General features: G+C 51.8%; 2 protein-coding genes across 4 annotated transcripts, besides 4 other annotated features; both read left to right on the forward strand.

The window, feature by feature from the left end:
* Positions 7,190-13,089, forward strand: GTF2H4 (general transcription factor IIH subunit 4). The gene is made up of 14 exons (NM_001517.5): positions 7,190-7,386; positions 8,017-8,156; positions 8,418-8,522; positions 8,915-9,046; positions 9,648-9,744; positions 9,836-9,924; positions 10,141-10,252; positions 10,414-10,482; positions 10,667-10,750; positions 10,997-11,129; positions 11,311-11,441; positions 12,093-12,140; positions 12,292-12,370; positions 12,794-13,089. The coding sequence occupies exons 2-14, from the start codon at positions 8,020-8,022 to the stop codon at positions 12,964-12,966; spliced, it is 1,389 nt and encodes a 462-aa protein (NP_001508.1). The 5' UTR covers positions 7,190-7,386; positions 8,017-8,019; the 3' UTR covers positions 12,967-13,089.
* Positions 13,221-25,442, forward strand: VARS2 (valyl-tRNA synthetase 2, mitochondrial). Of its 3 annotated transcripts, none has more exons than NM_001167734.2 (30): positions 13,221-13,452; positions 13,788-14,020; positions 14,139-14,220; positions 14,338-14,438; positions 14,729-14,850; positions 14,964-15,030; positions 15,135-15,232; positions 15,861-15,942; positions 16,088-16,207; positions 16,678-16,789; positions 17,810-17,898; positions 18,741-18,831; positions 19,072-19,199; positions 19,316-19,419; positions 19,651-19,732; positions 20,048-20,124; positions 20,213-20,288; positions 20,572-20,674; positions 20,908-20,978; positions 21,099-21,224; positions 21,433-21,537; positions 21,689-21,757; positions 21,881-21,959; positions 22,087-22,214; positions 22,336-22,488; positions 23,337-23,543; positions 24,257-24,368; positions 24,527-24,702; positions 24,863-24,991; positions 25,092-25,442. In NM_001167734.2, the coding sequence occupies exons 1-30, from the start codon at positions 13,395-13,397 to the stop codon at positions 25,191-25,193; spliced, it is 3,282 nt and encodes a 1,093-aa protein (NP_001161206.1). In that variant the 5' UTR covers positions 13,221-13,394; the 3' UTR covers positions 25,194-25,442. The 3 variants fall into 3 exon arrangements, with proteins under 3 accessions (NP_001161206.1, NP_065175.4, NP_001161205.1); NM_020442.6 differs by having other exon boundaries at positions 13,221-13,327; positions 13,793-14,020; NM_001167733.3 differs by lacking the exon at positions 13,788-14,020 and having other exon boundaries at positions 13,221-13,327.
* Positions 20,666-21,247: an enhancer, noted in NCBI's record as "H3K4me1 hESC enhancer chr6:30889460-30890041 (GRCh37/hg19 assembly coordinates)". NCBI's record gives its function as "activates a minimal SCP1, AML or CMV promoter by ChIP-STARR-seq in naive H9 embryonic stem cells {active_cell/tissue: H9 hESC(naive)}" and the evidence as "EXISTENCE:reporter gene assay evidence [ECO:0000049][PMID:30033119]".
* Positions 20,666-22,410: a biological region, named in NCBI's record as "MED14-independent group 3 enhancer GRCh37_chr6:30889690-30890889".
* Positions 20,896-22,095: an enhancer, noted in NCBI's record as "MED14-independent group 3 enhancer chr6:30889690-30890889 (GRCh37/hg19 assembly coordinates)". NCBI's record gives its function as "activates an origin of replication core promoter dependent on BRD2, BRD4, P300/CBP and CDK7 cofactors, and independent of MED14, by STARR-seq in HCT116 cells {active_cell/tissue: HCT116}" and the evidence as "EXISTENCE:reporter gene assay evidence [ECO:0000049][PMID:35650434]".
* Positions 21,829-22,410: an enhancer, noted in NCBI's record as "H3K4me1 hESC enhancer chr6:30890623-30891204 (GRCh37/hg19 assembly coordinates)". NCBI's record gives its function as "activates a minimal SCP1, AML or CMV promoter by ChIP-STARR-seq in naive and primed H9 embryonic stem cells {active_cell/tissue: H9 hESC(naive and primed)}" and the evidence as "EXISTENCE:reporter gene assay evidence [ECO:0000049][PMID:30033119]".

A 27,703-nucleotide genomic window follows, 5' to 3' on the forward strand; every position in this document is an offset into this window, starting at 1 on the left:
GTGAGACATAAAAGTAGCTGTGGTGTCAATTAGTGACAAGTCACAGGTACTGCTAATACTACTGGTGGTTTTACCCATATTCATAATTGGAGGAAATGCTAAACTTCTATTAGAGGTTAGTAAAAGGTGTAATTTCTTTTTCTTGCCCAAATTCTAGAACCCATCTGGCTCCCCAGGGTCTGGAAATCCCAGGGGAGAATCCCTGGGTTATGCTGATCAAGTGTGCAAATGCCCCACTGGGGGTAGGGGATAGGTTGTTGGAATGGAAACCAGAACCAGAAACCAGAATCAAGAGCCTCAGTTATCTCAGAGGCTTGGAAGGATGAGCTGCAACCACCAAGAGAACAATTAAAGGGTTCAAATTTGGTTGGAAAGAAAAAATCGGCCAGTGGGGTGGCTCATGCCCTGTAATCTCAACACTATGGAAAGCTGAGGTAGGAGGATTTCTTGAGCCTAGGAGTTTGGAACCAGCCTAGGCAACATAGCACACTCTGGCCCCCATTTATACATATATATATAAAACTAGCTGGGCTTAGTGGTGTGCACCAGCAACTCAGGAGGCCAAGGTGGGAGGATAACTTGAGCCCAGGAGGTTGAGGCTGCAGTGAGCCATGATTGCATCACTTCACTCCAGCCTGGGTGACAGAGCAAGACCCTGTCTCAAAAAGAAAATTAAAAGTCAGTTGCAGGGATGGGACAAGGCAGACCCATCTTGATGGCCATTCATGTGAAATAAAAACCCTGGGGTTTTGGTTGATGATATTCACAAAATGAGCCAATTGGATAATGAGGATCACAGTAAAGATAAATCAATGTGAAGTTGAATTAATAGGCCCTTGGGGCCTAGGTCCCGAATCTAATAGTCCTGCTAAAACTTACACAGGTCAAACCACTGTGCACTATGATTTAAGTTGTGTACCGATAGGTTAGAGTTTAGAGGCCAGATCCCAGAATAATGAGCGATGGAAGCCACGGCAGTGAGCCTGATAACCCAAATCTCTGAGCTGTCTTTCAAGCAGAAACACCTGGAGTTAATTTTTTTTTTTTTTTTTTTTTGAGACCTGGTCTCGCTCTGTCACCCAGGCTGGAGTGCCGTGGCGCAATCTCAGCTCACTGCAACCTCCGCCTCCTGGGTTCAAGCGATTCTTCTGCCTCAGCCTCCCACATAGCTGGGATTACAGGTGTGCACCACCATGCCCAGCTAATTTTTTTGTATTTTTAGTAGAGACGGGGTCTCACCATATTGGCCAGGCTGGTCTCAAACTCCTGACCTCGTGATCCGCCCACCTTGGCCTCCCAAGGTGCTGGGATTACAGGCGTGAGCCACCGTGCCCAGCCCCACCTGCAGTTAATTTAAAAGTCAGGCCCTGCTTGTCCAAACCTGCTTCTCCTCCACAGTCTACTGACTCAGTGAATGGCAGCATCATCCACTTAGCTGCACAAGCCGCACAAGGTGGCATCCCCGAGCTCCTTCTCCCTTACCTTCCACCTCTCAAGTCCAGTCCAGCACAAAACGCTGTTGATTTTGCCTCCCAAATCTCCCTGGAACTTGTCATCTCTGTCTCCATCGCCCTCCTGGCACATGCTGCCTCCATCTTGCCTGGACTCCTGCAGTGGTCTCCCAGCTGTCACCCAGATCTGCCTCTGCTCCTCTCTGGGTTGTTTTCCACCCTGCAACCACAGTTATCTTTAAAACACACAAATCTGACCCTAATCCTTCATTTCAAATCCAGCAGTGACTTTTCATTAATCTTAAAATGAAGAACAAAATCCTTCTGGCCAAGGTTGGCCCCCACATACCTCTCCAGCGTCCTCCCCCACCCGCTTGCTTTCCTCTGTGGGCCACTGGCCTTCTTTCAGATTCACCCAATGGGCCACAGTACTTCCTGCCACGTGGCCTTCGTGGCATGCTGTTCCCTCACCTGGAACAATGTTCCCTGCAGTCTGTGCCTTATTAACTCCTGCTTGTCCTTCAGCAGTCTTTCCTGACTTCCCCAACCAGGTCAAATTCCCTACTGATAATCTCAGAGGACATGAATCTCTTCTTTGTGGCACTTACTACGTGTGTAATTTTACATATCTTTTTATACCTGCCCCTCCCACCAAACTATAAGTTGCACAAGGGCAAAATCTTGGAACACAGGGCTCAATATTGGTTGAAAGAAAGAATTGTAGCAAATATCTGATAGACTAACATAGATTCTATGTAGTTACAGAACTAGAACTAGGATTAATAAGTGAAAGTTACAATAATGATGATAATATATTACTGAGCACCCACTATATACCAGGTATTGAAATTACGACATATTATATCTTACTTAATACAACAATATATGAAGTAGTTAAAATTACTTTGCACAGAGAAGAAAATTCTGTTAGGTTAAGCAGCTTGCCCAAAGTAGCAGTCAGTCAACAGTAAAGCCTGTGGGAAGTGGGTCTGTGGGCTCCTGGCTCTCTGTTCCTTTTTTTTTTTTTTTTTTTTTTTGAGACAAAGTCTTGCTCTGTCACCCAGGCTGGAGTTCAGTGGCACTATCTCCGCTCACTGCAACCTCCGCCTTCTGGGTTGAAGCGATTCTCCTGCCTCAGCCTCCTGAGTAGCTGGGATTACAGGCACCTGCCACCATGCCCGGCTAATTTTTGTATTTTTAGTAGAGACTGGGTTTCACCATGTTGGCCAGGCTGGTCTTGAACTCCTGATGTCTTGATCCACCCTCCTCGGTCTCCCAAAGTGCTGGGATTACAGGTGTGAGCCACCACGCCTGGCCCTGGCTCTCTGTTCTTTCTCTCCAGGATGCTGCCTGAGAGGAGGAGGTCATGAGCTCCCTATCACAGGAATTTTCTTTTTTGAACTACCATGCCCACTAACATGCTGGCCAACACGGTGAAACCCTGTCTGTACTAAAAATACAAAAAAAAATTAGCCAGGCATGGTGGTTCACGCCTGTAATCCCAACTACTCGGAAGGCTGAGGCACAAGAATCGCTTGAATCTGGGAGACAGAGATTGCAGTGAGCCAAGATTGTGCCACTGCATTTGACCTGGGTGACACTGTAAGACTCTGTCCCCTCACCCCCTCCAAAAGAGGTGTGCCTATTTCAATTTTTTTTTTTTTTTTTTTTTTTTTTTTTTTTTTTTAATTTGAGACAGACTCTCATTTTGTTGCCCAGTCTGGAGTGCAATGGTGTGATCTCAGCTCACTGCAACCTCCACCTCCAGGGCTCAAACAACCCTCCTGCCTCAGCCTCTCAAGTAGCTGGGCCTACAGGCATGCACCCTCATGCCCAGCTAATTTTTTTATTTTTTGTAGAGACAGGGTTTCACCATGTTGCCCAGGCTGGTCTCAAACTTCGGGGCTCAAGTGATCTGCCTGGCTTGGCCTCCCTTCAAAGTGCTGAGATTACAGGCATGAGCTACTGGACCCGGCCTCAATTTTCAGCAAAAGTGTATGAGTATGCTCCTATACCCTGGTCAACATTGAGGTTGTCAATCCTTAATTTCTTTTTTGCTGAACTTTTATATTTTAATTTTATTTATGTATTTATTTTGAGATAGAGTCTTGCTCTGTTGCCCAGGCTGGAGTGCAGTGGTGTGATCTCGGCTTACTGCAACCTCAGCCTACTGGGTTCAAGTGATTCTCCTGCCTCAGCCTCCCAAGTAGCTGGGATTACAGGCGCCCGCCACCATGTCTGGCTAATTTTTGTATTTTCAGTAGAGACGGGGTTTCACCCGCTCAGGCTAGTCTCGAACTTCTGACCTCAAGTGATCCACCCGCCTCGGCCTCCCAAAGTGTTGAGATTATAGGTGTGAGCCACTGCCTCCGGCCGATTTATTTATTTTTATTTTTATTTATTTATTTATTTTGAGATGGAGTTTCACTCTTGCCCAGGCTGGAGTGCAATGGTGTGGTCTCAGCTCACTGCAACCTCTGCCTCCCGGGTTCAAGTGATTCTCCTGCCTCAGCCTCCCAAGTAGCTGGGATTACAGGCGCCCGTCACCATGCCAGCTAATTTTTGTGTTTTTAGTAGAGACAAGGTTTCTACTAAAATGTTGACCAGGCTAGTCTGGAACTCCTGACCTCAGGTGATCCACCCACCTTGACCTCCCAAAGTGCTGGCATTACAGGTGTGAGCCATGGCGCCTGGCCTATATATTTATTTTTAAGAGACAGTCTAATTCTGCGGCCAGGCTGGAGTGCAGTGGTGTAACTGTAGCTCACTACAGCCTTGAACTGCTGGACTCAACCGATCTTCCTACCTCAGCCTCCTGAGTAGCTAGGACTTCAGGTGTGTGCATACCGAGCTAATTTCTTTTTCTCTTTTCTTTTCTTTTCTTTTCTTTTTTTTTTTTTTTTTTTTTTTTGAGACAGGGTCTCACTGTATAGCTCAGGCTGGAGTGCAGTGGCATGATCACAGCTCAGTGTAGCCTTGACCTCCTGGGTCCAAACAATCCTCCTGCCTCAGCCTCCTGAGTAGCTGGGACCACAGAACCAGGCCTGGCTAATTTTTTGAATTTTTTTTTTTTTTTTTTGAGACAAAGTCTCGCTCTTGTCCCCCAGGCTGGAGTGCAATGGTACGATCTCAGCTCACTACAAACTCCACCTCCCGGGTTCAAGCGATTCTCCTGCCTCAGCCTCCCGAGTAGCTGGGCTTATAGGCGCCTGCCACCACGCCCGGCTAATTTTTGTATTTTTAGGAGAGACGGGTTTCACCATGTTGGCCAGGCTGGTCTCGAACTCCTGATCTCGGGTGATCCACCCACCTCGGCCTCCCAAAGTGTCGGGATTACAGGCGTGAGCCACCGTGCCCAGCCAATTTTTTGATTTTTGAAACATTTCTGATATTCTGTTTAACTTTCTTTTTGCTTTGGCCAATCTTTCTTTCTCTTTCCTTCTTTCCCCCTCCCTAACCCTCCCTTCCTCTCCCCTCCCCAATTCTCCCCTCTCCAGTTCTCCCCTGTCCTCTCCTCTCTTCCCCTCTCCTTTTGGGACAGGGTCTCACACTGTTGCTCAGGCTGGAGTGCAGTGGTGCTATCATTGCTCACTGCAGCCTCAATCTCCTGGGCCCAAGTGATCCTTCTACCTCAGCCTCTTGAGCAGCTGGGACCGCAGGAGAGCACACCACTACACCTAGCTAATTTTTGTTTTGTTTTGTTTTTGTAGCGATAGAGTTTCTGTATAATGCCCAGGCTGGTCTGGAACTCCTGAGCTAAAATGATCCACCTTCTTTGGCCTCCCAAAGTGTTGGGATTACAGGCCTGAGCCACCCCGCCAGGCCTCTTTCTTTTCTTTTTCTTTTCTTCTTCTTTTTTTTTTTTTAAGCTGCTCCTTGCTGAGCAGGGCTAACTAGTAAGCAGTGGTCTGTCCCAATCTTTCTATTATGTTTCTTTTTCTTATTGCTTTGTAACAGCTTTTTGTATTTTGTTTATTTCATCAACCATTTCTTCCTAGATTGTAAATTGTCTTTCAACCTTACCTAAAGTTTGCCATAAAGAAGCTCTGTCAATTTTTAGCTTTTCTTTGAAGATTTTAAAACATTAATTGCTAAAAAGACAGGGACAACAGAAAACATGGGTGGGCTACAAAGTATAAAAAGTCTTGCATAGTCATTACCATTTTGATCCCTGGTTGCTTGCAAATGTGCTTCAAATCCCAGCTTGGGCACTTCCTGTCTGATTGTAGGGATTTTTTTTTTAATTTTTTTTTTTTTAGAGATGGGCATCTCAGGTTGGGCTCAGTGGCTCATGCCTGTAATCCCAACACTTTGGGAAGCTGAGGCAGGTGGGTCACCTGAGGTCAGGAGTTTGAGACTAGCCTGGCCAACATGTTGAAACCCTATCTCTACTAAAAATACCAGAATTAGCCGGGCGTGGTGGCACACACCTGTAGTCCCAGCTACTTGGGAGGCTGAGGTAAGAGAATCGCTTGAACCCGGGAGGCTGAGGTTGCCGTGAGCTGAGATCATGCAACTGCACTCCAGCCTGGGTGACAGAGTGAGAGACTCCGTTTCAAAAAAAAAAAAAAAAGAGAGAGAGAAATGGGGGTCTCCCTCTGTCACCCAGGCTGGTGCGATCATAGCTCACTGTAGCCTCAAACTCCTAGTCTCAAGCGATCCTCCTGCCTCAGCCTCCCAAGTAGCTGGGGGTCACAGCTCTGAGCCACCTCGCCAGGCTGCAGGCAAATTTCTTAATCTTGCCGGGCTCCAGTCTTCCAGTCTATAAGGTGGGAATAACAAAATTTGCATATAGGAATTTGGGGAAACGTGTAGTTCTGGGTTTGGGTGAAGACCTCCACTTTTGTAGTAGGTTCATAAATCAAATCAGAGCAAATAGTTGGTGTCTTAAAAACTGTATTTATCTGGGTCTTCTAAGTAAACGGTTTGAGGAGTGGTGGAGGCAGAAATTAAGATTTACTGAGTACTTAGGGTCAAGTAAGGTGCACTGGATCGTGTTAATCGTTAACTCGTGGAAACCGCCCAGAGTGTGTACGCTTTCTTTCTTTTCTTTCCTTTTCTTTTTTTTTGAGACGGAGTTTCACTCTTGTCGCCCAGGCTGGCGTGTAATGGCATGGTCCTGGCTCACTGCAACTCCGCCTCCAGGGTTCAAGCGATTCACCTGCCTCAGCCTCCAGAGTAGCTGGGATTACAGGTGCCCACCACCACGCCCGGCTAATTTTTGTATTTTTAGTAAAGACGGGGGTTTCACCATGTTGGCCAGGATGGTCTCGAACTCCTGACCTCGGGTGATTCGCCGCCTCGGCCTCCCAAAGTGCTAGGATTACAGGCGTGAGTCACCGCGCCCGGCCTGGAGTGTGTATTATCCCAATTTTATGGGGAGTAATTGTGCTCACTCGGCTCACCACCAAGTCGCCAGAGCGCGCCTCCGCAAGGAAGCCCTCCAGGCACTTCTACTTTCCCGGACCCGCCTCCCGCTCCAGCCGGTTACACGCGCCGTTAGCAGCGTGGGCGGAGTTGGTTCTGCCTTCGCGGAACCAACTGGTCCAGCTTCTGGTGTCTCCCCTCGCTCAATTAAAAGCCAGCTCCTCTCCTTTCGGCTTCCCCACGGTGCCTTTCGGGATTTGTAGTCAGACGCGCTTCAGCCGGCTCTAAGGAGAGCAAAGGCAAGACTCCAATTCCCAGCATCCCCCGCGCCCGGAGAGTGCAGCGTCTATTCTCATCCTCTTCACTTTTCCACTCCTCCCCTTACCTCCCTTCTCTTCTGAATTCTCCATTCTGGGCTCTTGCCTGTGAAATCTTTCTTTGCTTTCCCCATCTTTTCCTCGCATTTTTTCACCATCTTTCCCTCAATCTCCAGGAGCCAATGCGAGACTTTGGCTCCGATTAAGCGACGGCCCGAGACTCGGGGTGCGCGAGGAGGATCGACAGAGTGGTGAGGGGACCTAGGAGGGCGGGAGTGGCAGAGGTATGAGAGAGAGAGAGGTGAGTGGGAGGCGAAGAGTGAGAGGAAGGCAGGGAGAAGCTAGGAGATCGGAAGGCGTGGGTCAGGGTGAATGACGTGAAGTAGACTTGGGAAGGGAAAAGAGGTGGCTTTAGATTTGGGAAGCATGGAGGGGAGAGGTTACCGCCGTACTTAGCAGAAGTGGGCTAAGAGATAGAAGATAGGAAGGACGGGCAGATTTGGAGCTTGTAGACTGGTCTGACCAGGATGGGATGGAAGAGAGAGGTGTGGGCTCAATTTTCTTTGTCCCTGTTTAGCCAAAGATGAGACAAGTCATTGAAATACAAAATGATCTTGCAAACACTGGACAGTTAACAATTCTGTCACTTGGTAATTGAGGGAAGACTGGAGTTGAAGGGCAGAAATAGGGTGAGGAGGCAAGAAAGGGAGGGAGATTGGTCAGGTTTGGGAGAAACCAGAGGAGATGAGTGACATGGGAAAGGAGACCACAGAAAAGGTGGGGTTATTGTGGGGACTGATGGATCTGGAATCAGTTAGAAAGGTCAGGGGTGACACTGGCATGGATGGTGAGGTTGCACTTCTGACGTTTGCATTCCTCAGGTGATGGAGAGCACCCCTTCAAGGGGACTGAACCGAGTACACCTACAATGCAGGAATCTGCAGGAATTCTTAGGGGGCCTGAGCCCTGGGGTATTGGACCGATTGTATGGGCACCCTGCCACATGTCTGGCTGTCTTCAGGTGAGAAGCCCCTTCATGGCAGGGAAATGTAATGGGGTCTGCGGAGTGGAATAAAATATCATAGGTAAAAGTGTAGCAGCCTGGAGTCGGGGTGGGGACTGGGGGCAAGGGTTGGAAATTGCTCTAAAGTGTGGAGGCCAAAACAGCAGGACTGGTAAAGTTGTGCTGGAGTGAGATGAGATGTTTGAGAGGTAATTGAGGGCAGAGATGCAGATACAATGCAGCTTCTGATACTAACCTTTGACCTCTGTTCCTGTACAGGGAGCTCCCATCCTTGGCTAAGAACTGGGTGATGCGGATGCTCTTTCTGGAGCAGCCTTTGCCACAGGCTGCTGTAGCTCTGTGGGTAAAGAAGGAATTCAGCAAGTAAGTCTCAGCCAGATACAAATTTCTCAACAGCTACATTTCCCAAACTGCTGTTCCTTGGAGCACTTCCAGGAAGTGTTAATAGATATATCACAAAACTTAAAAATAAATACATTTGGGAAACTCTGCATATTGCCTTTTCCCTTTTATTTATTTCCCAGCTGAGATCTTGCTTTCAAATGTATCTTCCCTCTTAAAGAGTTATGTGTGATATCTGTAATGAGGCTCTGATAAGTAATGCAGTAAAGAATTTGTCTTAGGAAGATACTAATTTCACTCTGTGGAACAGTGTTCCAAGGGTCAGCAAGTTCAGAACAGGCAGAGATGGTGGCTTTTATGGGCCTCCTTTTTGTTTTCCAAATACCCTACTCACCTCTCTGCTTCTGTTCCAGGGCTCAGGAGGAAAGTACAGGGCTGCTGAGCGGCCTCCGGATCTGGCACACACAGCTGCTCCCAGGCGGGCTCCAGGGCCTCATCCTCAACCCCATTTTCCGCCAGAACCTCCGCATTGCCCTTCTGGGTGGGTATGTCACTTCTCTCTCTTCCTAAGCTAGGGCAGGGGAACTGCTGCTTATTAAACCACTAATTAAACTTTGGGAGGGGGAGCTCCTGGGGGCCTCCCCAGAACCTTGTGGTCTCCACGTTGGGAACTCCTTTAGGAGTAAGTTGGACCAGATGTAGTGTGTGGTGTAGGAAATGTCCCCCACTCATGGCCCCTGAGGATAAGGGTGGAAAGATGGCAGAGGGCAGCAAGGAACACAGACAGGGTTCCTTACTCTTTTTTTGTTGTTCTGTTTTGTTTGTTTTTGAGACAGAGTCTCACTCTGTCACCAAGGCCAGAGTGCAGTGGTGTAATCTTGACTCACGGCAGCCTCTACCTCCTGGGTTCAAGTGATTCTCCTGCCTCAGCCTCCTGAGTAGCTGGGATTACAGGCACCCACCACGACGCCAGGCTAATTTTTTGTATTTTTAGTAGAGATGGGGTTTCGCCATGTTGGCCAGGCTGGTCTTGAACTCCTGACCTCAAGTGATCCGCCCATCTCGGCCTCCCAAAGTACAGGGATTACAGGTGTGAGCCACTGCGCCTGGCCAGGGTTCCTTACTCTTGGCCCATCCTGGCCGTAGGGGGAAGGCCTGGTCTGATGACACAAGTCAGCTGGGACCAGACAAGCATGCCCGGGACGTTCCCTCCCTTGACAAGTACGCCGAGGAGCGATGGGAGGTAAGCACTTGGGAGTGTGTGTGTCTCTGCTTGTGCTTCTACTTCCCATGGCCCTTGGGGCATGGTCTCCCTGTTCTCTTCTGTTCTTCAGGTGGTCTTGCACTTCATGGTGGGCTCCCCCAGTGCAGCTGTCAGCCAGGACTTGGCTCAGCTCCTCAGCCAGGCTGGGCTCATGAAGAGGTGAGGAAGCCGGAGGTACAGCAGCTCTCTGCTGTGCCATCTCCTTGGGTCCCTAAGAAATGGTATCTGGGGCTAGTCAAGATCAGAGGACATTAGCTGGAAAAGGCAAGCTGAGTAGAATATAGCCAGAGATACCAAGAAAAAACGTGAGTGGACAAGTGGGGATAGTAGTCTTTCTCTGCATATCACCATCATTGTCCTGGTCTTTGTCTCTAGTACTGAACCTGGAGAGCCGCCCTGCATTACTTCCGCTGGCTTCCAGTTCCTGTTGCTGGACACCCCGGCTCAGCTCTGGTACTTTATGTTGCAGTATTTGCAGACAGCCCAGGTGAGGAGGCAGGGCCACTTAACCAGCATGCTCTGCTCCTCTCAGGTCTCACTGAGAGACTCCTGCCTACAGACTGTTCCCTGATTTTCTCTTCTCTGTCCCTTTCTTCCCATTGTCTCCCTCCCATCCCTCCTCCTTTGTCTCTGCCTCTTTCTCCCTAGAGCCGGGGCATGGACCTGGTAGAGATTCTCTCCTTCCTCTTCCAGCTCAGCTTCTCTACTCTGGGCAAGGTAAGCAGGGGGCTGAAAGGTATAGAGATGGGAAGGGGAAAGCAAGTTGTGGGGCAGTAGAGTAGACTGAGAAGATAAGAATGAAAACAGAACGAACAGAGATGGAGAAAGAAAGAATGAATGTATGGGGTTGGGGGTGGGTGGGTTGTGTTTTGGACCCCAGCTGGAAACCTCTGTTCCTCAGGATTACTCTGTGGAAGGTATGAGTGATTCTCTGTTGAACTTCCTGCAACATCTGCGTGAGTTTGGGCTTGTTTTCCAGAGGAAGGTATGAGCGCCTAGATAAGTGGCTTCCAGGGAAGAAACAGGGTGGTGTGTTGCCTTTGCCTTTAAAAAGGAGTGGGGTCTTGGGGCAGTAGCAGGAAGCAGTTGCCAGAACTGAATACTTGGGTCTCTCGGGGGAGAGAAGTTGGGGGTTGAGGTTCTGCATCTTGGGAGGGATCTGATATTTCAGGCAGGAAGATGTAAGGCAGTGACTTCTGAGACAAGGCATCTGCCTTTCTATTCTTTTCAGAGGAAATCTCGGCGTTACTACCCCACACGCCTGGCCATCAATCTCTCATCAGGTGTCTCTGGAGCTGGGGGCACTGTGCATCAGCCAGGTTTCATTGTCGTGGAAACCAATTACCGACTGTATGCCTACACGGGTGAGGCGGGACAGAGGGCCCCTGGAAGAGGAGGTTGGGGGTGAGGGAATGCCAGTTTATGTTCGTGTTTACCTGGCAGTCTACAGAGCTCTCTGACATTTCTCATGACACTTGAAAGAAGGGCTTGAGGGAGTCTGGGTGTGGGGGTGGCCTCCTCATCCTCTTTCTATCCCTGGCTCAGAGTCGGAGCTGCAGATTGCCCTCATTGCCCTCTTCTCTGAGATGCTCTATCGGTTCCCCAACATGGTGGTGGCGCAGGTGACCCGGGAGAGTGTGCAGCAGGCAATCGCCAGTGGCATCACAGCCCAGCAGGTATTCCCACTTGGGAGAGGTGGAGCAGGAAGACAGGCTGCACTTGGGCTGCGGGGGACAGGGGTCACATTATGGAAGGCTAGCTCTGAGTCTGTTATAATAGGTGGTGGTGAGTTGTCTGTGTTTGAAGAGAAATGAAGGCTTTGGGTGTGAGAATAGGTAGACCCTTGAGGGGAAAAAAACATGGAGGGAGGAGGTATAGATCTGGATTTGTGCCTCGGCACTGCCACATCCTAACTGCGTAAACTAGACATAGTTGTTTTGCCTCTGTGAGCCTCAGTTTCCTCATCTAGTAAATGACAGTTCTTACCTCAGGGTTGCCGGGATAATTCATTGGAAGAATAGGGGCAAAGCATTGAGCTCAGCACCTGTCATGCAATAAATGCTAAAAAAAGAAAATAGTAGCTGCTGCTATTTTAAAGAAAGAAAAACAAAACATTACTGGAAAGGGCGAATGTGCCAGAAAAGGAATATCCCACGTTGCTGGGAGCAGCAACGTGGGATAACAGCTGAACTGGGATGGGTGGAGTTGATGACAGGAGTTATGAGTTTTTAGAATAAGCTGATGTTCCAGTGACATTAGGTGACAGCTCAGATGGCTTTCCTGCCTTCTTGCTGGAGCCCTCATGCCATTCTTGTCTGTTTTCCTAGATAATCCATTTCCTAAGGACAAGAGCCCACCCAGTGATGCTCAAACAGGTATAGACAGGCTCCAAGATGTCAGAGGCTGGCAGCTGGTGATGACATGATGGAAAAGAAAAAGGGGCATCCAAATCTGGGGAAGAAACAGAGGGCCGGGTTGTCTGGGGCAGTATTCTGAGTCCCTACAGTCAACCCTTGCTCCTTGCAGACACCTGTGCTGCCCCCCACCATCACCGACCAGATCCGGCTCTGGGAGCTGGAAAGGGACAGACTCCGGTTCACTGAGGGTGAGTAGCTTCTGGTGGCCAAGTCTTGGTCATTGGCCAGAGAAAGGGCAGACAGTTCAGTCTGCATTTTATTTTTTACTTCATGGACTAGGAGAGAAAAGCTGGCAAGACAGTTTTTTGTTGTTTTGGGGTGAGTCGGTAGTAAACAAATCGTCCCAAATCAATGCACTTTGGATTTGGCTAGGTGAGGGAATAATTCACAGTAATTTGTATTAGGCCTTTCTGAATATGGCTGGATCACACTGGTGTTAAGATGAACCCCTGAGCAGACAAGCATAGAGAATTAGTTTGTAAAATTGCGGTGGGGGCAAGCCCAGACCGCGTCCAGGGCTGCCACCAAGGAGCTGGGGGGATTCCCAATAGGAGCTCCGAGCTTCACTTTCTCGTCTTCTCCCCGCGCCCCTCCCGTCCTGCCGACCCCAGGTGTCCTGTATAACCAGTTCCTGTCGCAAGTGGACTTTGAGCTGCTGCTGGCCCACGCGCGGGAGCTGGGCGTGCTCGTGTTCGAGAACTCGGCCAAGCGGCTCATGGTGGTGACCCCGGCCGGGCACAGCGACGTCAAGCGCTTTTGGAAGCGGCAGAAACATAGCTCCTGAGAGCGCGGGACTTGGACACGGACCTCGGCGGGCGGGACTGGGCGGGGCGGGGCATCAGAACTCAGGTGTTTTTTATTTACGCGTCAGGGCTTTTCTTGTTTAATAAAGTTATGATAGCTAGCAGTGCGGTCCCGGGCGCCTCCCCGTGGGGTTTGCCTTCGCGGCGGACTCGCTCCTCTGGTCTACAGCCTTTGGACCGGTAGGGAGAGGGTGGGGCCAAAGCCAGCTGCTGCGCATGCGCCGGCCGGGGCCCCGCCCCCATGCGCCGCGCGGCTCCAGGGCCACGTTCCAGGGTCGGGTTTGGTGGATTCCTCAGTCCCTGCCGCCGCGGGGCGCCCTGGGATAGCGGCGGGGCCTCCTGGTGAGCGCGCGCCGGGGCGGCCTCCGGGAAGTGGGAGACGCTGCGGGTCCTGGGCCCAGGCCTTGGGATGGGCGGGAAGGCTTGGCCGCGCCGGGCTGTGGGCACTGCAGGAGGCCCCTGTGCAGGTGGAGATCGCCGCGGCCCTGGCGGGACTCCTTGCTGGCTCTTGGGCGCGCTGATGCCCATCATCTCCCTGAGTTTCTGAGCCCTATCTCTCATGTGTCAGTGGTCACCGCCGAATCCAGACACTCCGGCCCTGTTCCGGAAGAGCCCTGATATCCGTGGCTCCATGGCGCTGTCTGTCGATACCATGCACTCTAGCTCTCAAGGAGGAAAGGTTTTGTGGAAGGGAATAGAGACTTGGAATAACAGACCTGTGCTAATTAGAGACAGGAAAGATGGAACAAGGGGAGTGACCCTTCTCCACCCCCATATCCTAATGTGCTCTCTCTCTATCCAGAACAGATCTCGGCCCCTTTCCAAACACTCCTGATGCCTCATTTGCCTCTCGCCTCTTTTCGACCACCATTTTGGGGGCTGAGGCACTCACGGGGCCTCCCCAGGTTTCACTCCGTTTCTACACAGTCGGAGCCCCATGGATCTCCCATCTCCCGGAGGAACCGTGAAGCCAAACAGAAGCGCCTGCGAGAGAAGCAGGCGACTCTGGAGGCTGAGATAGCAGGGGAGAGCAAGGTTAGGGGTCAGACAGCTTGTCCTTGGGTTTCTGAGACTTGAGAGGGGCTGGAGGAGACCGGCTGAAATGCAGTCTGGGGTATACTGGATCCCAGCCTCTTCTGCTTTCTCTTCTCAGTCACCTGCAGAATCCATTAAGGCCTGGAGGCCTAAGGAGTTAGTATTGTATGAAATCCCTACGAAACCCGGTGAAAAGAAAGGTAAGTAGAATAAGTAAGAAGGCCTTTTCTTTCACATATGTGTTGCCCATTTGGCCTGCCGAAATGCAGCCTGGGAACAAGTTCAGTGGTTAGTGGAGCTCTCCTCTGCCTTCACAGATGTCTCTGGGCCCCTGCCTCCTGCATACAGCCCCCGATATGTTGAGGCTGCCTGGTACCCGTGGTGGGTACGAGAGGGCTTCTTCAAACCAGAATATCAGGTTAGTATCTGGCAGGGAGGGGTCCTAAATTGTCTCCAGGACAGAGTGGCCCTTGAATACAACTGGACCTCAGAGTTGAGCTCACATTGTAGACCTTGTCTTCTTTCTGGCTCTGGTGTCTCCAAAGATTTCTCTTGGCAGGTTCCCCCTGGCCAATTCCCTCCTCTCCACTCTCCTCTTATTTGCAGGACAGTTCTTCCTTGAAGTTCTTTCTGTTCTGGAGACAGTAGAGGGTGCTCTTTCCCCAATCCAATTCTCTCTTGCCCCTTTGACTTTTTTTCTTCCTCTAGGCCCGGCTGCCCCAAGCTACAGGGGAGACCTTTTCCATGTGTATCCCACCTCCCAATGTCACTGGCTCCCTGCACATTGGCCACGCACTCACGGTGGCCATACAGGATGCCCTCGTGCGCTGGTGAGAGGGGAGTGGGGGCTGCTTGAGTTCTTGGAAGGGAAATAGGAAGGGCAGGAATGAGTGAGGATAAACATTTAAGCTCAGGGGCTCACAGGAGGGCATTTTTGTTGCAGGCACCGGATGCGTGGGGATCAAGTGCTGTGGGTCCCTGGTTCAGATCATGCAGGAATTGCTACACAAGTATGTCTTTTGTTACCTGTTCCTTTTCTTGGGCAAAAGCAATTTCTTCCCCCAAAGCAACCAAGCAACCTGACTCTGTTCATTTGCCCTGAATCCAACTGCAGGCTGTGGTGGAGAAACAACTGTGGAAGGAACGGGGAGTGAGGAGACATGAGCTGAGCCGGGAGGCCTTCCTTAGGGAGGTGTGGCAGTGGAAGGAGGCGTGAGTATGATGGGCAGGACTCGGGGGGCCCAGATGGCAGATTTGGTTTCTTGCCTCCCACCACTATCACTCCTGACTTGTAATCCTTGGCTCTTCCCGACACAGCTCTGACTTCCTCAGAGATGGAAGCTCTGGAGCCTGTTAACATTTGGTGGAGTTTCTAAGCCTTATGTGTGTGGATATTATATATGCATTAGAATATTCGTGTGTGTGTGTGTGTGTGTGTGTATTTATATATATATATATATTTTCTTTCTCTTTACTTACCCCAATTTCTCTTGTCTAAATCTCACCTTCTTCCACTCGCCCATTCCCACCTTTCAATTCCCATGGAATTACCCTCATTCTTCTGGGTCTGTTATCTCATGCCATCTCTGTGAAGCATCCTTGGATTTCCCACAATATGGCTATCCCTCCTCTCTTCCTATAGAATCTTTTGCCTCTTTTAATATCTTAGAAAACCCCATACTGGGTTTGTAAGTCCATTTCTATTAGCCTCTAGAGGCTAGATCAATGCCATCCTCACTTGATTTTCCTCCAACACCTGGCATTGCTGGGGGCATCGCTGGGCCTGGTACATAGGAAGTGCTTGGGAAGTGTTTGCTGACAAGGATCTCTCTGGGCACAGGAAAGGTGGAGAGATCTGTGAGCAGCTGCGAGCTCTGGGTGCCTCCCTGGACTGGGATCGAGAGTGTTTTACCATGGATGTTGTGAGTGTTCTGTGCCTTGGTCCCTGTGAGTGATGGGCGATGTTTAGGGATCTGTGTGGGGCAGGGAGGAAGCAATGCCTGGGTCCCTGAGCAGGGTGATGGGCTGAGAAGTGGCTCTTAGAGGTGGACACTCAGGTCATTCCAGGGCTCCTCAGTGGCTGTGACTGAAGCTTTTGTGCGGCTCTACAAGGCGGGGTTGCTGTACCGGAACCATCAGCTTGTCAACTGGTCATGTGCTTTAAGATCAGCCATCTCGGACATTGAGGTGAGGCGGAGAGAGGGAAGCAGGTTTGTGAGAGCTCTGAGGCAGAGTGGTCAATGATTAAGAGCTCAGACTCTGGAGCCAGGGTGCCTGGATTCAAATCTGATGCCTGCCTGTTACAGCTGTGTGGCTTTTGGCAGGCCGTTTAGTCTCTTTAAGCCTCAGCTTCCTCAGTCTGTAAATTAGAGATGATGGAATGCTTGCATCGTGGGGGTGTTGTAAAAATTAAATGAGAATTCACATAGGTGCTTGGCAAGATACCTGGCCATGGCTTAAGTGCTCAGTGAATATTTATTAGAAGTGTGACTGCACGAGCATTGGGTGAGGGCAGAGGGAGGTAGCTCCCGAATCCTCCAAATGGCTTTTAGATGGATTGCAGGGAGGCTGGGCAGATGGATGAGTGGCAGAGTGAAGCCTGGGCATGAGCCTTGCAGAAAGGCTGCCCTCTGACCCAGCTTTCTCGGTGCCTCCAGGTGGAGAACCGGCCCCTGCCTGGCCACACACAGCTTCGACTGCCTGGCTGCCCCACCCCCGTGTCTTTTGGCCTCCTATTTTCTGTTGCCTTCCCCGTGGATGGAGAGCCTGGTGAGCATAGTACTCTGCAGGGTCACCCGTTTACCTCCATTTTTCCTGTTTTCTGAAGCCCATGTTGGGCTGCTAGGAACCCATCAGTCCATCTCTCACATGTACCTTGGTAGTGTTCACCTCAGCGTGGGCACTTACCCAGGGTCTTCTGGGGGATGTACAAAAAGTGCATGTGGTCACTGCCCTTTGAGAGTGTGGTGTGATTCTTCAGGAGTGCGCTACCCAGGAAAGAGATCAGTTCTAAGGTATGTTTTGTTTTGTTTGTTTGTTTGTTTGTTTTGAGACAGAGTCTCACTCTGTCACCCAGGCTGCAGTGCAATGGCACGATCTCGGCTCCTGCAACCTCTGCTTCCCAGGTTCAAGCGATTCTCCTGTCTCAGCCTCCTGAGTAGCTGGGATTACAGGCGCGTGCCACCAGGCCTGGCTAATTTTTGTATTTTTAGTAGAGACGGGGTTTCACCATGTTGGTCAGGTTGGTCTCGAACTCCTGACCTCGTGATCTGCCCGCCTTGGCCTCCCAAAGTGCTGGGATTACGGGCGTGAGCCACTGCACCTGGCCTCTAAGGTGTGGTTTTTACGGTAAATGTTCTGAAGAGCTCAGAGAAAGGGAAGACAGATGAGCTGGAATTGTCAGTGGAAGCTTCTTGTAGGAGCTGGTGCTCCCCCTGAGGAATGTACAGCATTTGTGATTAGGACACTGAGAATCCCCAGTGTCCTCTGGGCACCCAGCAAGAATTCTATTATAGTTGCTTTAATTAATGCTGCCCCCATTTCTTCCATGCAAATTATCAGGGAATTCTTTAGCACCAGAGACCCTCTCAGACCTCTGGTCATCAGCTTATGGGAAACCCTGGGTTCCTATAAACACTGCTCCTACTTTTTTCTAGTCACTCCTGGGGGCCTCTTCCACCTTGACTACTCCCTGCCCCTTCCCCTTTCCAGTTCTACTGCCTTTAGCTATGTTGGCAGTGAGAGGTGAGGATGATGACCAGCTGTAAGTGTTTAAATGTTTATCTTCAGATGCAGAGGTTGTGGTAGGAACCACAAGGCCAGAGACGCTGCCTGGAGATGTGGCTGTGGCCGTTCATCCAGACGACTCGCGATACACAGTAATACCCAGTGCGCTCCTGCACTCTGGCCCGCCCCGCCAATGGCCTTCTCTTCTCTTGGGTTTTAAATGGTGGCTCTTTCTCTCTTGCTTCTACTTCCTTTTCCTGAGACTTCTCTCAGTGGTTCTGATTGGACTCCCTCCTCCTCTTATAGTTTTTCTGTAGCTCAGGGGTTGACAAACTGGCCCATGGTCCTAATCCAGCTTGCGGCCTTTTTTTTTGAGACAGAGTCTCGCTCTGTCACCAAGGCTGGAGGGCAGTGGTGTGATCTTGGCTCACTGCAACCTCCACCTCCTGGGTTCAAGCAATTCTCCTGCCTCAGCCTCCTGAGTAGCTGGGAGCGTGGCACCATGCCCGGCACGTGCCACCACACCCAGCTAATTTTTTGTATTTTTACAAAAATTAGTAATTAATTTTTTTTAAGTAATGTAATTTTTAAGTAATGTTATTTAGTAGAGACGGAGTGTCACTGTGTTAGCCAGGATAGTCTCGATCTCCTGACCTCGTGATCTGCCCACCTCGGCCTCCCAAAGTGCTGGGATTACAGGCGTGAGCCGCCGCGCCTGGCTGCTTGCAGCCTTTATATTATCTATGGCTGCTATTATATACCCTCTCCAGCTCTGCTGCAGTGGCATAATAGAGTAATTGTGCTGAGAATGAATTTGTCTCTAGGCCCAAAAGCCTAAAATATCTACATTCTGGCCCCTTAAGAGTTTGCTGACCTTGCTCTAGCTTGCTACCTTCCACTTTCTACCTTCTTATTCCTGGGGTTCTCACGCCCCAGCCCAGACCCTTCCAACCCTCACAGGTGCCTGTCCTTGATCCCTCTCCCTTCCCTTCAGCATCTACACGGGCGACAGCTTCGTCACCCCTTGATGGGGCAGCCTCTTCCCCTCATCACAGACTATGCTGTTCAGCCACATGTGGGCACGGGTGAGTGGAAGTCAGGGGAGGGAGAGAAAGTTGGGGGTCCTGGAGGAGAGGGGAGGGAACCAGGAGGAAGAGGAAGGTGGGAGTGGGAGATCCTCATATAGGGTGGTCTGAGTGGGGAATGGGAGGGAGGCACAGACAGAGAAAGTCGCAGGGGCTGGGGCGGTGCAGGTGATGATGATACATCTGGAAAAGCAAAAGCCAAGGTCAGGTTCAGTACTCACCATGGCTGTGCTCCCCAAGGGGCAGTGAAGGTGACTCCAGCTCACAGTCCTGCCGATGCTGAGATGGGGGCCCGACATGGCTTGAGCCCCTTGAATGTCATTGCGGAGGATGGGACCATGACCTCCCTCTGCGGGGACTGGCTGCAGGTGGTACCACCCTATGTTACCCCATCCTTTGGGGGCTCTCTGTCCCCCTAATCCTCCTCCTAGTTTCTTATTTCTCTAGAGGCCTTCAGTCTTTACTCTTGCCGCTTTTTCTCCAGGGTCTTCACCGGTTTGTGGCCCGGGAAAAGATAATGTCTGTGCTGAGTGAATGGGGCCTGTTCCGGGGCCTCCAGAACCACCCCATGGTACTGCCCATCTGCAGGTAACCTCATTTTAACTCCTTTACTAAGGGCTACCCCAAAAGGGAATGTATGGAGCTTAAGGGTGACAATAGGATGGGCTCTGCACCCCTCCGTTAGAATACGAGCTCCGTGTCGGTTTTATTCGCTATTGTATCCTCAGTACCAAGGGCCTGGCATGGCATGGGGTCTTGTGCCCCTGGGAGAAGTCACAGGGCCGGAAGAGCAGTGGACTCACCCTGTCTCTCTTTCAGCCGTTCTGGGGATGTGATAGAATACCTGCTGAAGAACCAGTGGTTTGTCCGCTGCCAGGAAATGGGGGCCCGAGCTGCCAAGGTGAGGCTGCAGTGTAGGAAGGACTGGGGCCAGGGGTTGGGGGAGCTCCCTGAGAATTGGAATGAAGAAATGGGAAGCAGGAGACCTCCTGCCCTGAAGACCTCTCCAGCTGTGGTAACTGAGAGGATGTGTGGGATGGAGGCTGGGCGGCCCAGCAAGGGCTGGCTCATATCCTTACTCAAGCCCAGAATCTTGGCAAGAGGCTTGGGAGGTCCTTTCTGAGTTTTAAAATGACCTCAGAGGCCACTCGTCCTATCTGTGGAGGTGCGGCCGTGCAGGAAGGGCAACATTGTCTAAAGTCCCCTTTCTCTCCAGGCTGTGGAGTCGGGGGCCCTGGAGCTCAGTCCCTCCTTCCACCAGAAGAACTGGCAGCACTGGTTTTCCCATATTGGGTAAGGGTAGGGTAAGGGGAGCTCTTGTGGAGATGGGGAGGGGGGACTGACTGGTTATTCTAAGACTTCACGAATGTCCTCCCGGCAGGGACTGGTGTGTCTCCCGGCAGCTGTGGTGGGGCCATCAGATTCCAGCCTACCTGGTTGTAGAGGACCATGCGCAGGTGGGTAGGAAGAAGCACCCGGAGGGCCGAGTGTGGCACAGAGCACCTAGCCCAGGAGTCAGAGCTCCGCAGGGCCAAGTCCCGCTCCTGCCTGGTCATGTGCTTCATGCTCATAGTCATGTAACCTTCTGCGCGATCAAGGCTCCCTGAAGTGGCATTTCTTTATCTCACCCCTGGGGGAACCTGGCCACTCTAAGACCACATGAGGACGTGAAAACCAAGTGACATTTACACCTGTCAGCTGTTCTTCCTCACTCTCCCCAACCCCTTCCTACTTTTGCAGGGAGAAGAGGACTGTTGGGTGGTTGGGCGGTCAGAGGCTGAGGCCAGAGAGGTAGCAGCGGAACTGACAGGGAGGCCAGGGGCAGAGCTGACCCTGGAGAGGGGTGAGTGCCTGAGCTGGGGAGGGATGTACAGGGGAGCGGGGGCCTGGGCATCTGGGCCTTTGAGGGGAACAGATCCCAAGATACAGAAGGTAGGGTCAGGAAAGTTGGGAATGGAGCCAAAGGGGACAGCCCTGGTCTCTGGGGGTGGGGGTTGGCCTAGAATGGTGGCAGCAGTGGTCTGAGGTCCTAGAAGCCAAGGTTCCAACTGTCCCCATTCTTTTTCTGTTTCCCAGATCCTGATGTCCTAGACACATGGTTTTCTTCTGCCCTGTTCCCCTTTTCTGCCCTGGGCTGGCCCCAAGAGGTGAGGTGGGTTGAGAGGGCGAAAGTGAAGGGGAAACGATAAGGAAGGGATGGCTGGGCCCCCACAGAGGCTTGAGGGGGGCCTGGGGCCTGGGCCTCTTACTGCTCCTCTTCCCCCTAGACCCCAGACCTTGCTCGTTTCTACCCCCTGTCACTTTTGGAAACGGGCAGCGACCTTCTGCTGTTCTGGGTGGGCCGCATGGTCATGTTGGGGACCCAGCTCACAGGGCAGCTGCCCTTCAGCAAGGTAAGAGCCCTTCAGTGCCCTGCCGCTTTCTGTGACTCCAGTGTTCCCCAAACCTTGTCCTCCCTTCTAACCCCTAATGTGGTCCTTTCCACGTTGCTGATTCCTTTTTCCTAATTCACTTCCTACCCTACCCCCAAAAGTATGGAGGCCAGAGATCCCAAGGCACCTCCAAGGAAACCCCCCTCTGTTGACCCCTCCCTGCCCCCAGGTGCTTCTTCATCCCATGGTTCGGGACAGGCAGGGCCGGAAGATGAGCAAGTCCCTGGGGAATGTGCTGGACCCAAGAGACATCATCAGTGGGGTGGAGATGCAGGTGAGGACGAAGCACCCACTAGAGGGACAAGGTTTGCAGGGTTTGCAGGAGAGAGGAAGGCAGGCTGAGGGAGGAGTGAGGCCAGCAGGTGTGACCCTTATAGAGGCAGGGCCTTCGACCTGGGTCGTGAATTGCCCCCTTCCATCCCCAGGTGCTGCAGGAAAAGCTGAGAAGCGGAAATTTGGACCCTGCAGAGCTGGCCATTGTGGCTGCAGCACAGGTGAGTCATCGCTGCCTGCCCCCCACCAGCTCTAGCTCACCACCTCTGGCTTCCTCTGCAACCCAGGTCCTGGCCCTGCAGCCACAAAGGCATCTGCCACCCTTCTTCTTCCTCTGGTTGCAGAAAAAGGACTTTCCTCACGGGATCCCTGAGTGTGGGACAGATGCCCTGAGATTCACACTCTGCTCCCATGGAGTTCAGGGTAAGCCTGGGCGAGGGGTGTCGGGGTGAGCAGAGGGCAGCGGGCACCTGTGCAGGGGCAGGGCAGGGGCAGGACTTCTGGTGCTGCTGCCACCTACATGCAGACTACCTCGATTCTTCCCTTCCAGCGGGCGACTTGCACCTGTCAGTCTCTGAGGTCCAGAGCTGCCGACATTTCTGCAACAAGATCTGGAATGCTCTTCGCTTTATCCTCAATGCTTTAGGGGAGAAATTTGTGCCACAGCCTGCTGAGGAGGTAAGAGAAAACAGAGGTGCTTGGGAGTAGGGTAGTCAGGTGTCAGAGGGCCAAGGTGGCATCTGGAAGGAAAGGAGGCAGGGGAGGGGGAGTCAGGCCATCCTGCCCCCTCTGCCTGCAGCTGTCTCCCTCCTCCCCGATGGATGCCTGGATCCTGAGCCGCCTTGCCCTGGCTGCCCAGGAGTGTGAGCGGGGCTTCCTCACCCGAGAGCTCTCGCTCGTCACTCATGCCCTGCACCACTTCTGGCTTCACAACCTCTGTGACGTCTACCTGGTGAGTGAGGCTGGGGGAGGCTTGGTATTCCCATGCCTGCTTCTAATTCCTCTGGAAATTTCCAAGGCAGAGAGCTCTGGAGTTAATAAGTTCCCAATTGTCCCCTCAGTTAGGAGAGGAGAGGAGACGAGGGAGTCTCAGTTCCCCTCTTCCTGGGACTGGTTTTGGCAGTGCAGCCCAGGCACTGTTGCCTGCCTGTCACCTGGGGAGAGGAGGAGGAGGGAGACTTCTAGAAATGTCTGACAAGTCGGTGTCAGAAGGCAGAGGGGAATTTTTTCAGTCCCTGTAGTTGCTGAGTTTGGCCCATGGGCAGGCTGCGTGCTGAGAGAGGCCTGGGAGGGACTAGCAGCGGTCTTTAGACCAGGGGTTCTCACGCTGTCCTACGTCCAAAGCACCTGGAGGGCTTGTTGACGGTGGATCCCCCCCGCTCCACTGCCACCCCAGAGTGGCTCCTTTAGCAGGTTGGGGTGGGGGTGGGTGGTGTAATGAATATTCATTTCTTGTCCCAAGTGGTGCTGCTGCTGCTGGCTGTGGACCACTGCCCTAGCTCAGCCTTTTAAAAACCTCTGTCCCCTGTTGATAAGCAAAAAACTCAATGATTTTTTTCCCTAAACTACATGTTTCCCTGGAAATCCTGTCCCTGTGTACTGCAGAGAATTGCTGTCCTGGAGTCCCCTTCTTTGTGCTGAGTGTGTCCTGGGACTGTGGATCATATCAGAAGTGCTAAGTGCTTCTGCCTGTCCCTCTCTCCCAGGACCCATGGCCTGCCCCACTGGCGGGTAGCAGTGGCTGTAGGGAGGAGGGCTGTGGCCCTGGACCTGTCCTCTGACCATTGGCTTCCTCTCCAGGAGGCTGTGAAGCCCGTGCTGTGGCACTCGCCCCGCCCCCTGGGGCCCCCTCAGGTCCTGTTCTCCTGCGCTGACCTCGGCCTCCGCCTCCTGGCCCCACTGATGCCCTTCCTGGCTGAAGAGCTCTGGCAGAGGCTGCCCCCCAGGCCTGGTTGCCCCCCTGCCCCCAGCATCTCGGTTGCCCCCTACCCCAGCGCCTGCAGCTTGGTGAGTCCCAAGCACCTTGGAGTGGGTCTGTGGGTGAATGGGGGGGAGCACCTTCTGAAGGGGTTTGCTGCAGGGGGCTCATCTGCAGGAATGGTTCGTACTTTACTGTGGAGCCCTGGGGAAGATGGATTGTTCCTGCAGGGTTGCTGCGATGACCCTAGGGTCTTGAGGGACAGTATTAGCGTAGTGCTCAAGAGCAGGACTCTGTTGCTAGACTGCTATTTTTGAGCTGTGTGATCGAGCCTCAGTTTCCCGCATGTTTAAACTAGGAACAGTAATAGTATATGTTATGGTTGTGATGAGGGTTGGATAAGTTAGTAATAGGGTGTCCCCAAAATCTCAGTGCAGCTTTAATAACTTCAGAAGGATAAATGCTATGAACTCACCCAAAAATTATTTTAAAATTTAACTATTTAAATTTATACTTATTTGGTTTTGAGTTTTGACTAATTCATTTTAAATTCTAATTTATTTTTGGTTGGCCATTTCAATCACAGCAACTAAACAGGCATCAAACACTGATCATCTAAAACCTCTTAAATGACGCCTCACTTTTTGTCATGTTCCTTGAGATAGTGGATTTTCTGTGGTGCTGAGGACAGATCTCATTGCCCTAAGGAGATGGGGTGGATGGGTCGAGAAGAGAGCCAGCAGGGTTGGTACTGAGTCTCCCAGGAGCCCCTTTGCCAATTCTGGGTCCCCCCCATTGCCAGGAGCACTGGCGCCAGCCAGAGCTGGAGCGGCGCTTCTCCCGGGTCCAAGAGGTCGTGCAGGTGCTAAGGGCTCTCCGAGCCACGTACCAGCTCACCAAAGCCCGGCCCCGAGGTGAGGCAAGGCGGGTCCTGGGCTCGGATCCCTGCAGGAAAAGGGGGCTGGTGGGGAAAAGAGCAGAGCCTGAAGGGCCAACCCCCCCGTTAGGAGGTGCAGGGTAGGAAGGGAGGCAGGAGCTGAGGCCTTGCCCCTGACAGTTTCTTTCTTTCCAGTGCTGCTGCAGAGCTCAGAGCCTGGGGACCAGGGCCTCTTCGAGGCCTTCTTGGAGCCCCTGGGCACCCTGGGCTACTGTGGGGCTGTGGGCCTGTTACCCCCAGGCGCAGCAGCTCCCTCCGGCTGGGCCCAGGCTCCACTCAGTGACACGGCTCAAGTCTACATGGAGCTGCAGGTGACCAGAGGGGATGGGGAGGGTTAGGGCAGGCTTGGGAAGCATGCTGGGAGGAAGGGAGGGGCTGGGCTCTATAAAGTAGGGGAAGGGACCTTCTAATGGAGGATGGAGGCCTGGCAGCAGGCGGATGTCTGAGCCTTTTCTCCCTGTTCTTCCCCAGGGCCTGGTGGACCCGCAGATCCAGCTACCTCTGTTAGCCGCCCGAAGGTACAAGTTGCAGAAGCAGCTTGACAGCCTCACAGCCAGGACCCCATCAGAAGGGGAGGCAGGGACTCAGAGGCAACAAAAGGTAAGGCTGAGGGAGGCCCCCAGAAGGCTCCACCCCTGAGGGAATGTGGGCCAGGAGGGGCCTCATTCCTGGATCCTCACCTCCTTTTCTCCTCGTCCAGCTTTCTTCCCTCCAGCTGGAATTGTCAAAACTGGACAAGGCAGCCTCTCACCTCCGGCAGCTGATGGATGAGCCTCCAGCCCCAGGGAGCCCGGAGCTCTAACTCATCATCCCCATCAGTTTTCCTCCCTCTCAGACCTGTCTTTGAGGACAAACAGATTTGTCAGCTGTCAGGGTGCAGTGGGACGTCAGAGACTATGTGGTCCATCGCCTTCATTGTGTAAATGAGGACACAGACTGGCTTGGTCGCAGTGACTGTGGTGTCCTTGAGATGCTCACATTACTGCCCGGCCTGCCTCCCACCTGGAAGTCTGGGAATGAGGAGATTGAGATAAACTTTTGAAATCCCAAACATGTCTGTTTATGGCTCTTTGGTCCCCTTTGCTCCCAGTGGTGACTTTTGTGCTTCTGAGTTGTCCCCTGAGAGCTTGGTCTGGGAAAAGAGGAGGAGGGGTCCTCGCTGGAGGAAGAGGAACTTTCTAGTCATGGGTAGGGTATGGGCACAGTGGTTCCGGTTCTACCTACTTTCTGGACTAACTGACAGTGCCCTGGCTTTTGCAGGCTCTTTCTCCTCCACTTCTCACTAAATGGAAGCTTCCCCGCTCCTTGGCTGTATCCCTAGAGGTGCTGAGAGAAGTAGGACTTCCTCCAGACCTGATGGGCTGCAGGCTGTGCTGCAGATGGTGTGCCCCCACCTTCTGTGCTCTGACACCTGAGTGCCCAGCCTCTGAGTTACACATTCACAGCACAGCCAGCCACCTTACCCACGCCAAACACCATCTCATCTCCATGGAATTCAAGGGCCTGGCCCTTCCACGCCCAGAGTACATTCTGTCCAGCAGCTCTGAGTAGCCTGTCCTGGGCTGGGTCCTCTGTGGTGCTAGATGTACAATGCCATTTAATCCTACTGAAAACCTCATGAGGCGGGTGTTAGCTCCATTTTGGAGATTTTTATTTTTACTTTATTTTTGGGACAGGGTCTCGCTCTGTTGCTCAGGCTGGAGTGCAGTGGCATAATCATGGCTCACTGTAGCCTCAACCTCCAGGGCTCTAGTGATCCTCCTGCCTCAGACTTCTGAGTAGCTGGGACCACAGGTGTGCACCACTGTGCCCTGCTACTTTTTTTTTTTTTTTTTTTTTTGGAAACGGAGTCTTGCTTTGTCACCTAGGCTGGAGTGCACTGGTGAGATCTTGGCTCACTGCAACCTCTACCTCTCTGGTACAAGTGATTCTCCTGCCTTAGCCTCTTGAGTAGCTGGGATTACAGTTGTCTGTCACCACGCCCAGCTAAATTTTTTTTGTATTTTTAGTAGAGACAAGGTTTCACCATGTTGGCCAGGCTGGTTTTGAACTCCTGACCTCAAGTGATCTGCCTGCCTCGGCCTCCCAAAATGCTTGGATTACAGGCATGAGCCACCATGCCCAGCCCTGCCCTGCTAATTTTTAAAATTGTTCTGTAGAGATAGGGTTTTGCCATGTTGGCCAGGGTGGTCTTGAACTTCTGGGCTCAAATAATCCACCTGCCTTGGCCTCCCAAGGTGTTGGGATTACAAGCATAAACCACTGCGCCCAGCCCCCATTTTGGAGATGAAGACGTGTGCTCAGAGAAAAGTCTCCACTGGGACCTAACCCAATAAATTAGGTGCAGGCTCTTTCTGGCTGCTGTAACTAAACTTCAAATATAATGGTGGCTTAGATGAGGTGGATGTTTCTTCTGCTGGGCATAAGTAGTGCAGAGATCTGCAATAATGGGAGCCCACACCTCCTTCAATCTTATTTTCCTGCCATTCTGATGCATTGTCAAACTTCATGTCCAAGGTCTGCACCAGCTCCCATCACCGTGTCTGCATTTCCACCCAGAGGGAGGAGGGAAAGAAGGGGATGGGCAGTTTTCTTTTTCTTTTTACTCTGTTTCAGCAAGGTGTTTTTTTTTTTTTTTTTTTTTTTTTTTTGAGCACCTGCTATGGATGGGCTGGGCCTTATTCTGGACACTTAGATTCATCAGTGAGTGAAACAAAATTCTGTGCCCTTGTAGTACTTTCCTTCTAGCAGGACAGTCAGAAATAACATACAAATGAGTGAACGATATACTATGTTTGAATGTCATGAATGCAGGGGAGGGAAAAAGGATAGAACAAGGTAAGGGGACTCTAATGTGTTTGTGTGGCGGGGGGCAGGTTGTACTTTTAAATAGTGGGTCAGGGCAGAACTCACTGTAAAGGTGAGGTTTAAGCAAAGGCTTGTAGGAGGTATAGGAAGAGCGTTCCAGACAAAGGGAAGGGCCAGAGGAAAACAGATAGAGGCATGGTCAGACAGCTCGAGGAGTAGCCTGGAGACCAGTGTGGTGGGGCAGAGTGAGAAGGGGAGGATGGTGGGAGGTGGAGAAACAGAGGTGAGGGTGGGGAATTGGTGGGGGGTAGGGAAGACTCAAGGCGGACAATCTGGGGCTTGTGTCCAAAATGGTAGCCAGTTGGCTACCTAAAGCATTAAATAAAATAAAAACGTTCAGTTTCTTAGTCGTACTTGCCATATTTCAAGTGTTTTGGTAGTTGCATGTGGCCAGTGGCTACTATGTTCGTCAGCACGGTTATAAAACATTTCCATCATCACAGA

The sequence above is a fragment of the Homo sapiens genome, chromosome 6 (genome assembly GCF_000001405.40).
Source record: "Homo sapiens chromosome 6, GRCh38.p14 Primary Assembly".
Lineage (NCBI taxonomy): Eukaryota > Metazoa > Chordata > Mammalia > Primates > Hominidae > Homo > Homo sapiens.

Coding starts and splice junctions, on each gene's coding strand:
- GTF2H4 (NM_001517.5), top strand. CDS start 8,020: ATGGAGAGCACCCCTTCAAGGGGACTGAACCGAGTACACCTACAATGC. Junction 9,745..9,835: donor ACGCCGAGGAGCGATGGGAG/GTAAGCACTTGG, acceptor TCTGTTCTTCAG/GTGGTCTTGCACTTCATGGT. Junction 9,925..10,140: donor CAGGCTGGGCTCATGAAGAG/GTGAGGAAGCCG, acceptor CTTTGTCTCTAG/TACTGAACCTGGAGAGCCGC.
- VARS2 (NM_001167734.2), top strand. CDS start 13,395: ATGGGCGGGAAGGCTTGGCCGCGCCGGGCTGTGGGCACTGCAGGAGGC. Junction 23,544..24,256: donor ACCCCAGCGCCTGCAGCTTG/GTGAGTCCCAAG, acceptor CCCCATTGCCAG/GAGCACTGGCGCCAGCCAGA. Junction 24,992..25,091: donor GGACTCAGAGGCAACAAAAG/GTAAGGCTGAGG, acceptor CTCCTCGTCCAG/CTTTCTTCCCTCCAGCTGGA.